At 33.1% G+C, this 12,188-nt stretch overlaps 1 annotated feature.

The window, feature by feature from the left end:
* Positions 11,171-11,829: an enhancer, noted in NCBI's record as "NANOG hESC enhancer chrX:93543851-93544509 (GRCh37/hg19 assembly coordinates)". NCBI's record gives its function as "activates a minimal SCP1, AML or CMV promoter by ChIP-STARR-seq in naive H9 embryonic stem cells {active_cell/tissue: H9 hESC(naive)}" and the evidence as "EXISTENCE:reporter gene assay evidence [ECO:0000049][PMID:30033119]".

The raw sequence follows: 12,188 nt of genomic DNA, 5'->3' as shown, positions 1-12,188 counted from the left end.
ATAACAGAATGGATAAGAATTCACCAACCAAGTATCTTCTGTCTTCAAGAGACTCACCTAATACATAACAACTCACATAAACTTAAAGAGGTGGAAAATGATATTCCATGCAAATGGACACCAAAAGCAAGCAGAAGTAGCAATTATTATATCAGACAAAACAAACTTTAAAACAGGCAGCAGTTAAGAAAGACAAAGAGAGACATTATATAATGATAAAAGGACTAGTCCAACAAGAAAATATCACAATTCTAAATATGTATGCACCTAACACTGGAAGTCCAAAATTTATAAAACAATTACTATTAGACCTAAGAAATGAGATAGACAGATACACAGTAATAGTAGGAGACTTCAGTACTTCACTGACAGCACCAGACAGGTCATCAAGACAGAAAGTCAACAAAGGAACAGTGAACTGAAATTATACTGTAGAACAAATAGACTTAACAGATGTGTATGAAACATTCTACCCAAAACTGCAGAATATACACTTTATTCATCAGCACATGATACATTCAATAGACCATATGATAGTCCACAAAACAAGTTTCAGCAAATTAAAAATAAATAAACAAAAATTATATCAAGTATTCTCTCAGACCACAGTGCAATAAAATTGGAAATCAATTCCAAAAAGAATCATCAAAACCAAGCAAATACCTGGAAATTAAATAACCTGCACCAGAATGTTCTTTGGGTCAACAGTGAAATCAAGATGTACATTTAAAAACTTTTTTAACTGAATGATAGTAGTGACACAACCTATCAAAACCTCTGGGATGCAGCAAAAGCAATGCTAAGGGAAAAGTTTAGAGCATCAAATGCCTACATCAAAAAGTGTGCAAAATCACAAATAGATCTGAGGTCATACCTCGTGAAACTGAAGAAACAAGAACAAACCAAACTCAAACCAGCAGAAGAAAAGAAATAACAAAGATCAGAATAGAAATAAATAAATTGAAGCAAAGAAAATATAAAAGATAAAGGGAACAAAAAGTTGATTCTTTGAAAAGATAAATAAAATTGATAGACCATTAGCAAGATTAATCAAGGAAAGAGAGAAGATCCAAATAACTTCAGTTAGAAATAAAACAGGAGATATTATTACTAATACCACAGAAATACATAAGATTATTGAAGGTTACTATGAACACCTTCATGTACATAAACTAGAAAACCTAGAGGAGATGGATAAATTCCTGGAAACATACAACCCTCATAGATTAAATAAGGAAGATGTAGAATCTCTGAACAAACCGATAACAAGCAGCAAGATTGAAATGGTAATTTAAAAATTTCCAACAAAAAAGTCCAGGACCAGATGGATTAACAGCTAAATTCTATCAGACATACAAAGAAGAATTTGTACCAATTCTATTGACAATATTCCACAAGGTACAGAAAGAGGGAATCCTCCCTAAATCATTCTATGAAGCCAGTATCACCTGGATACCAAAACCAGGAAAGTATATAACCAAAAAAAAAAAAAAAACAAGAAGAGAAAAAGAAAACTACACTCCAATAGTCCTGATGAATACAGATGCAAAAATTCTTAACAAAATACTAGCTAACTGAATCTATCAGCATATCAGAAAGATAATCCACCATGATCAAGTGGGTTTCATAACAGGGATGGTTTAACATACGCAAGTCAGTTGATGTGATACACCACATAAACAAAATTAAAAACAAAAATCACATGATCATCTCAATAGATGTAGAAAAAGCATTTGACAAAATCAAACATCCCTTTAGAATTAAAACCCTCACCAAAGTCAACATAGATGGAACATACCTAAATGTAATAAAAGCCATCTATGACAAACCCACAGCCAACATAATACTAAACAGGAGAAAGTTAAAAGCATTCCCCCTGAGAACTGGAATAAGACAAGAAAGCCCATTCTCACCACTTCTATTCAATGTAGTACTGGAAGTTCTAGCCAAAGCAATCAGACAAGAAGAAGAAATAAAGGACACCCAAATCAGTGAAGAGGAATTCAAATAGTCACCATTTGCTGATGATATTATTGTATACCTAGAAAACCCTAAAGACTCATTTAAAAAGCTCTGAGAACTGGTGAATAAATTCAGCAAAGTTTCAGGATACAAAATTAATGTACACAAATGAGTAGCTCTGCTATACATCAACAACGACCAAGCTGAGAATCAAATCAAGAACTCAACCCCTTTCACAATAGCTGCAAAAAGTCAAAATAAAAAAAATTCCTAGGAATATAACCAACCAAGGAGGTGAAAGACCTTTGTAAAGGAAACTACAAAATACTGCTGAAAGAAATCACGAATGACACAAGGAAATGGAAACAATTACCATGCTCATGGATGGGTAGAATTAATATTGTAAAAATGAACATACTGCCAAAAGCAATCTACAAATTCAATGCAATTTCCATCAAAATACTACCATCACTTTTCACACAACTAGAAAAAACAATCCTAAAATTCATGTGGAACCAAAAGAGAGACTGCATAGCCAAAGCAGGACTAAGCAAAAAGCACAAATCTGGAGGCATGACATTACCCAACCTCTAACTATACTGTAAGTATAGCTTATACTTTACTTATACTTAAAACTTATACTATAAGTATAGCTCACCAAAACAGCATGGTACTGGTGTAAAAATAGGCACATAGATCAATAGAATATAATAGAGAACCTACAAATAAAGCCAAATACTTACAGCCAACTGATGTTTGACAAAGCAAACAAAAACATAAAGTGGAGAAAGGACACCTTATTCAACAAATTGTGCTAGGATAAATGGTAGGCCACATGTAGAAGAATGAAATCGGATCCTCATTATCACCTTATACAAAACTCAACTCAAGATGCATCAAGGACTTCAATCTAAGACCTGAAACTATAAAAGCTCTAGAAGATAACATCAGAAAAACCCTTCTAAACATTGGTTTAGGCAAAGACTTTATGACCAAGAACCCAAAATAAAATTCAACAAAAACAAAAATAAATAGATGAGACTTAATTAAACTAAAAATATTCTGCACAGCAAAATAAACAATCAGCCGAGTAAATAAGACAACCCCACAGAGTGGGAGAAAATCTTCCCAGTCTGTACATACGACAAAAGACTAATGTCCAGAATCTGCAAGGAGCTCAAACAAATTAGCAAGAAAAAAACAATCCCATCAAAAGGAGGGCTAAGGACATGAATAAGCAATTTTCAAAAGAAGTATACAAATGTCCAATGAACATGAAAAAATGCTTAATATCAATAATGATCAGGAAAATGCAAATCAAAACCAGAGTACGATACCACCTTACTCCTGCAAGAATGGCCATAACCAAAAATTTTTTTAAAAAAAGATATTGGCAGGGATTTGGTGTAAAGGGAACACTTCTACACTGCTGGTGGGAATGTAAACTATTACAACCGCTACAGAAAACATTGTGGAGATTCCTTAAAGAACTAAAAGTAGAACTACCATTTGATCCAGCAACCCTACTACTGTATATCTACCCAGAGGAAAAAACGTCATTATTCGAAAAAAATACTTGCACACATGTGTTTATAGTAACACAATTCACAATTGCAAAAATGTGGAACCAGCCCAAATGCCTGTCAATCAATGAGTAGATAAATAAAGAAAGAAACTGTGGTATGTATATACCATGGAATCCCACTCCATCATAAAAAGGAACAAAATAATGGCATTTGCAGTGACCTGGCGGGAATTGGAGGCCATTATTCTAAGTGAAGTAACTCAAGAATGGAAAACCAAACATTGTTCTCAATCATAAGTGGGAGCTAAGCTATGAGGATACAAAGGCATAAGAATGATACAATGGACTTTGGGGACCCAATGGAAAGGGTGGGAGGGGGGTGAGGGATTAAAAACTATCAGTTGGGTACAGTGTATACTGCTTGGGTGAGGGGTGCACTAAAATCTCACAAATCATCACTAAAGAACTTATTCATGTAACAAAACACCACTTGTTCCTCAAAACCTATGGAAATAGAAAATTGAAAAAAAAGTTTTAAGTGCATTATTGGAACACAGAGGTGGAGATATAAAAGGTTTGATCCTACCATATTTCAATTTGATAGGTTTTTAGACCTTATTGTTTTAAAATATAAATATTTTGACTTCAAATTTATAAATTTATTTTTTCAAAGCCACATTAACATAAATATTTCTACTTTTGATAAAGAGTCTCATTTTGTCACTCATGTTGGAGTGCAGTGTTGCACACACGGCTCACTGCAGCTTTGACCTCCTGGGCTCAAGTGATCCTCCTGCCTCAACCTTCCATGTAGCTGGTACCATAAGTGTGGACCACCATGCCCCCCATGTTTGATTTTTTGTAGAGATGGGATCCCATTTTGTTGCACAGGCTGTTCTCCAACTCGTGGGCTCAAGCAATTCTCTTGCCTTAGTCTCTCAGAGTGCTTGGATTATAGGTGTGAGCCACTATATCTGGTCATGAATTTTTAATAGGAAATTAATTTCAAGAATAGCCATTTAGCCATGTTAAGAGCTTGATACATTGTTTATCTAGTCCAGTTAAACCATGTGAAGTATCAGCCTTCATTGGTGGTTTCCAGTCTTTATTTATACCAAGTTTAATTTTTCATGAACAATATTTGAAGGTTTTTTAGTTCATATTTGTAATAAATTTAGTATAATAATAAACTTAACATGCAAAAATAACAATTTTACCCATTACAAATTTTATTTAATATGGATTGATAGTACCAGTAATATTCATTATGAATATATATAGATTATACTTCTTAGGGCAAAGAGCATTAGCACGATAATGTCTTCATGAACAGTGGGATCAAAACCTCCACAAGACCAATGATAGGAACAATACTTCCCAATGAGTGACCTCCAAATTAAGACCTAAGGATGAGTAAAACTTTTCCAGTTTAATAAAAACTAGGGTGGCGCAGATAGAAAAAGTGCCCCAGTCAAAGGCTCAGAGATGAATGAGTGCATGTTATGTCATAATTTTCTGCTATTGTACTTTTGCGTATATTTTTTCTTCTACTTGTAATTTTTTTCCTCCTTCTCTCCATTTCTTGAGACCGTTGGCCTGTTATAAGGAGAACTCAAATCATTTCCAGTGGGATGCTTTTTATATTTGAAAGAAGACATGACTATTTTTTATTTGTTCAATGTAAGACCACAAGGTGAAGTAGATATTAGAAATATGACAAAATAGATAAGATTATTAGGGGAACATGGGTGGATCTGCTATTATTCTGGTAGAATTTTTGTTAAATAAACACAAAGATAATAAAGACGGATCATATGCAGTATTTAATTTGTGTCTCCTGTTCAAAATAGATGTAAGTACATTTGTCTTTAATTTCATGCAGAGGGTTTTGAGTTAAATGAGCTTCGTTATACTGTTTCACATTTTTGTTGAATTGGGATTGAATAAATATGGTACTTTTATCTTCATTGTCAGTGGTTGATTAACTTGGTGATCCCAATTTAATGTTTTCCTTAAACAGAACTATAAGGACTATATCAGTCCAATCTCAAGTGAATTTTATGTTTCACTGAATTTGGCCAGGCAAATAGAATTCTAGTGCAAAAGATACACATGTTCAAATTCATGATCTGAAACTTATACATATACTACTTATTAGAAAGACAACTAAATATGATATAATATACCTGCAAGTTTTATAACACAAAGATTAGGTATTTTTCATAAAAGAGTAAGTAATAGTCCTTTATTATTTTATTATGTACTTGGATAGAATAAAACATTCAATTATTCTGCAACATTGTTTTCAGCCAAATAAGGTTATTAGCGCACCTACAAGAAGAATATATTTGGTTAATAAAAACATGGTCACTTACATGCACTGTCTTTTTTAACTTTTGTTAATTTCTCAAAATAAATTAAGTTGAAATAAGTTATTTTGCTTTGATATCTTCTAAACTTGATCACCATATCTGAAGTCACTATGTAGACGAGTAGAAAATTCAATGATTTAAATAGTGTAAAATTCTTGAGTGCTCCTCTCTCATAAATTGTAGCAGCTTTAATAAATAACTGTATAGCTGTTTTTCTATATTCCATATGACTTCTGTGCACATCCAGAGGATGTCGCTTACTATGCAACAACTTATATGAACATTATAAGATTCTTAGAATATTATTCTCTTCAGTTTATATCACAGGTCCCAGATGGCTTGACTTAATTTAATTTTACAGCTACCTTCTTGAGAGAGTATATTAAAGCCAAATAATCCTTCAATAGAATGAGAGAGCAATGAGGTTCACAAATAGAACTACACCACATTAATTGTGAATTATATTTCCACATGAATGAATTTCTGAGTTGCAGTCAAATTTGAATTTAAAAACATTGTGGAACACAAGTCCTTTATGAGAAAAGAGATCCTTGTTTCATTAAGAAAAAGGTGCACAATGTTGGTTATATATATATGTACTAAATCATCTCTCTAGTTAAGATCCCAACCTAAAACAGATTTTTAGTGAACTTTGTTGTCTTGTATTTTTTTTAAATCGTATAGCGCTTTTTCTCTTGAAAAAGCCTTTGATTCCTGTAGCTGAACATCTTCTATGATGATTGTTGCAGTATCATCTTTGTATGGTTATTGATATTCCTGCTTCTGATTAAAATTTAGTGTTTTCTTTTTTTTTTTTTTTTTAGTTAACATAAAATATATGTCTTCAGGCCTCTTTGGCCTCGGTCAGGAATGTATAACAACTGAAAAAGGTTCAGACGAGAGACCAGTAATTAGGCACAGCTTGTAAAGCCAATCAAGCTCAGTCTACTATTGCTCCTAGGGACAGGCTGATGATTGACATTGCAGTGAAGGAATCTCAGAGGTGGTTCTGCAGATTATAATCAAACTGCAAAAACAATTAGTAGGTAAAGCTCATGGATTAAATTTAAAAAATCTGTTGAGCAGGAAACATTCTCAACTAAAAGCTGAAGAGAGTACCTTATTGATAAAAGTTAACAACCTATAATTTTTATGTGATCAATACTACATGTCAGTTAGATTTCTAGAGTTTTCCATAGTAGTAAATGGTGGCTTTTATTCCTTTTTTTGCTGTCATTCTCTTTACCTTTTTTCTTCCAAAGCAACCCATTATAAAGTGAAGTGTATTGCATACCTCATTTCAAATTTTTGTACAAATATGCATATATTTTTTCATTGGGGGAAATGCCATAATTAAGACTTTGAAAACAGATATATTAGAATTTTACTAAGTTCTAAATAAGATGGCATTGGTTGGTTTATCTAGATGTATAATAATTAAATTATCTACATACATCTGTATATATACTTACAGCATTATCAGAGATATAATCTACCATAATTATAGACTATAAATTTCAAAGATATATTAATTCTTTAAATGAATGTCAATGTTTGTATAACCACATTAAAAGTAAACATCCAAGTGCTGCTAAACCTTCCCTGCATAGCGTGTACAAATGGCTGCTTGTAAGAAGTTAGTGATCTTTGCCTAATGTTTGAGACTGACTCAATTTAACAAATATTCCCTGAACAATTTGTAAAAAGGACATAAAGATAAAAATAGAAATGACTATTTCACTAAGTATAATGAGTGCAATAAACTGTTTACATAATGTATGCTACTAAGATTCAGAAAATAGAGAAATGATATTAAGTTATGGGAATAGAAAAATTTCATGGCTGTTGAATTTCGAATGAATTTTGAAGGATGTATTGGCAATTGGCATGTAGAAATACAGAGGGACATTTCACATCGAGGAAAAAGCATGGTGAATGATCAGCAATATAATGTAATACAATTTGGTAGAAATCGATTATTGAATGTACACCAAGACCACTTTTCTGTGAGATTTTGAATGCCAAAGTTAGAAGTATGTAATGATTGAGAAGAATATGAGAAGTCATGGAAAGTTTTGTTTTGCATGTAATGGTGAAGAAATGTTTTAAAAGTGCATTTTGGGTTCATTAATCTACAAATAATGGGTAAAGTCAATTGACAGAGAATCCAAACAGAAGGGCCAGCATGCAAGCTAAATCAATAATGCAGTTAGCCAGGAGATAAAGAACACGTGAAATAGAGTAGTTGTAATGGGACTGGAAAGAAGAGGGTACATTTAAAACATTTTTTTTCAGTATAGACACAATTTTATTTAGAAAATCTTCTATTCATGGTTGATTGAATCCATGAATGCTGAACCCACAGATATGGGAGTGGCAACTGTGTAGAACAGTGTGTCTCATTTCCACATAAGCTTATGATTAGAAGCATATGTATTAGGATAGGAATTTAATCTGTAGGGAGAAATAATTTATCCTAGATATTAGTTTAATAAAAACACATATATAAAAGAAATAGAGAACTAAATACAGAACCTATTTCTGGGCATTTATGTAAATAAGAAATTTCCACCAAAACGGAATATTCATGCCTCTTGCCTAGTTGGCAATACTATGGCAATAAAACACATTTATTAAATGCCTAGTTAACTTTCGAAGATTCCAGAGATGAGTCAACAAGCATGGTTATTGGCTTCTATGACCTTGTTCTTTTGAAGACAAGTTCTAATCTTATTTTTTTTGTACCCCTAGTTTTTTTTTTGCACAGAATCTGCAAGATAAACACCAAGTAAATTTATACTGAATGCATAAATGAATGATTGAAGATTAAGATTACCAAAGAAAAATTAAATGCCTTAACAAATAACATGATTAAGGAATTGATACTTTGTTTTCCATGTAGAAAAAAGAGGACAATGTAAATAATGTAACATGTTTCCTAAAGAAAATCAAGTTCAACCCCAACTGCTTAAGCACCTCTACAGAGCCCGATTGGTCTTGTCCTCACAGAACAGTTTGAAAACCACTAATCTAAACAATAATACACAGTGAGAGTGTAACTGGAGACAGAGAATGAAAGCTTCTCGTGATTTTGTAGTGTGTAAGTATAGTCTTACCCATAAGACTATAAGATATCCATCACCATAGGATAACCAGCCATTTTCCTGATGGGTGGAATATATTCTGCCTAGAATAATGGGGAAACTGTGCAAAATAATTTTTGAGGCTCTCTCTCACCAGTTGATTCTCACCTCTCTTAGGAGAAGACAGGAATAACTACTCTCAGAAACATTTACATTCTAAATATCAGAGATTATTGTTGTCTGATACTAATATTAGAAATATATGGAAAAAGCTCAAGATTTGGCAGGTGAGTTCTTCTATTTTATATGGGACTCCAAAAACCTATGCCTTTTTATAAGGGATTGAATACAAGGATATGCAAAATGCTCGAAGAAATCACCTTAAGTCTACATATCACCAAGTCTTTCTTCTAACTACACTTGGAATTTCACACCCTTGAATTCCAAATGTTTGCAAACATTTTCTGACCCAACTGAATTCCATTTCAATGTATCTGCTTGGCTCCAGCTTTTGTAAACATACAATGAAAAAATTTAAGGTAGTAGAAACTATAGTACATGATAAAAGCGATATAGGAGATGATAAAAAGAGAGAAGTAATGTGACTCCGAGGTTTCAGGTTAGGGTTACTAAAAAAATGGTGGAGCCGTGAATGACAACAAAAAGAGGGGAGTCTTTGGGGAGAGTATTAGAGAGTAATTTCTCTTTTCAACAAGTGTTATGCTTACATAAATTCTGTAGCTATATTGGCAAAACTATTTCAGACAACAATTAGCCACCTCTAAGGACAAGACACCTAAGGGTGGGAAGAAAAAGTTAAATATTTTTGTGGTTTAATAATTTGTTGAAAATTCAGTGGTCTCTGTCACGCACGTCCGTGTGAAGAAACCACCAAACAAGCTTTGTGTGAGCAACAAGGCTGTTTATTTCACCTGGGTTCAGGCGGGCTGAGTCTGAAAAGAGAGTCAGCAAAGGGTGGTGGGATTATCATTAGTTCTTATAGGTTTTGGGATAGTTGGTGGAGTTAGGAGCAATGTTTTGTGGGCAGGGGGTGGATCTCACAAAGTACATTCTCAAAGGTGGGGAGAATTACAGAGAACCTTCTTAAAGGTGGGGGAGATTACAAAGAAACTTCTTAAGGGTGGGGGAGATTACAAAGTACATTGATCAGCAGAAATAAATCACAATAGTGGAATATCATCAGTTAAGGCTATTTTCACTTCTTTTGTGGATCTTCAGTTGCTTCAGGCCATCTGGATGTATACGGGCAGATCACGGGATATGATGGCTTAGCTTGGGCTCAGAGGACTGTCAGTCATGGCCGATGAAATAAATTGGATTAGAGTAAAAGTTCTCAACTAAAGCTCACTGCCAACTTCCAAGAAGTACACTTTATGCTTTGACATCGTCTATTTTAATAAAATGCCTAGATAGATATATATTTTAACAGTATGTAATGAAATTCCTTAAGCCTTCATTATCGGAATAGAACTGTCATTCATATTGTCAAGTCACTAAGAGAAGGCTGAGGAATAGCAACCAAGACAATGGCTATTTAATGTTTCAGCTTATAGTATGAGGACACATTGATAATATTAATGACAGCTATTATTAAAACGAAGCGGTTAAGAGGGTGACCTCTGGAGTTGAACTTCTGGGTTTAAATTCTGGCACTACCCTTTATTATGTGTGATTTTGGGCAATTTTTAAGTAATCTCTGTGAACCTCAGTTTATTTATCTGTACAATGAGAATAATAGTAGTAACTACCTCATATGTGATATTGTCACAGTTAAATAGAATAATATATATACAGGAAAACCAAATTAACGTGATCTTCATGTTATAATACATGTGACACTGCATGCTCTGACACGGGATGAAGTCATTCTTTGTTCTACTACATAAATAGATAATACCCAGCAACATTGATTGATCGTTTATTATATGCCAGGAAGTGTTTTAAGAACTATGAATTAATTCAATGTCACAGCAATATTCTGTGTTAAAGTTCCTATATCAAGTGAATAAACAGAAACACAGAGAAGAAATATACCTAATATTAGTGAGACTAGGACCCAGAATTTGAACCCTGGAAGTCTGACTTCAGAGCCAGTATTCTTAATTACTATATTAAATTGCATGTCATTCAGAAAAGTTTTCTCAAACCTACTTACACAATATGCAGTATTACAGTTCATGACCAACCAATTAAAAATAACAGTTTAAGGTATTCATTCTATTACCAAAAAAAAAAAAAAGCCCAAAAGCAGATGCATTTTTTAAATCATGTATAAGTTCTATCTATTAATTACAACAAAGCCTCTATTTGTAAGCAACAAAAAGAACTTACTTAAATTGTTATATGAACTTGAAAGTATAATGCAAATTCATGTATATGATGATTGCTTATCTGAAACTCTGGTTTAGTAAACTACTTTGTTTGTATGCCTGATAATTCAAACCCTCGTTAACATCTCATTTAAATGTAAGATGTATTTACTTTGAGGAAGACCTAATGAGATCTTGGTAAATCCCCTTACACAAAGAGATGCTTTTTTGTGTAAATTTAAAGGATGACACTCCCTCTAAGTGTTCTACATTTTCTTGCATGCAGCTTCTGTCAATCTCAAGCCATTCCCATTTCTGAGGATGCATTATAATAAACACATTCTTTTAAAAATCCAAGGTCTCCAAACCCAACAATTAGAATTTGAGAGGTTTTATTGTAATTCTAAATCTTTGAATCTACTCCTTCTCTACATCAACTATACTCAAAATAATAATGAACACAGTGAAGAAAGTGCTAACTCTGGGCTTTCAATTGCCAAAAAATATATTTTCCTTATTTTCTATTGTAAGTCTTGTAATATCTTGGTTGTGAGTTTATTTGAGACTTTGGAGGTGTTATTAAACCTAATGTTCTCAAATACATAGAAGCAAAAAAATGTAAGTAAGTACATATATCTCTATTTGCATTGCCTTTTCCTTAGTCCTCGTTTCAGCCTGGTCTGGATTATTAAATAGCACTATCAGATTTTAGGGACAATCTTTTAGTCTTTGGTATTTCTCATTGTTATTTATGTGATATATTCCCTCTCTTAATAAGGCAGGCTGGTTAAAAGTACTGTACTCTTAAACAACATTTTTAAAAAGTGCAGTATTTGGAAGTTGTTGCAGTTGTTATTAATCAAACTGAACACTGGATGGCAGTCCTAACTAATAGTAGAAACAAAAGCTATTGATA

Source organism: Homo sapiens, chromosome X (genome assembly GCF_000001405.40).
Source record: "Homo sapiens chromosome X, GRCh38.p14 Primary Assembly".
Lineage (NCBI taxonomy): Eukaryota > Metazoa > Chordata > Mammalia > Primates > Hominidae > Homo > Homo sapiens.
The sequence above is the reverse complement of the archived record's forward strand: the minus strand, read 5'-3'. Positions and strand labels throughout refer to the sequence as shown.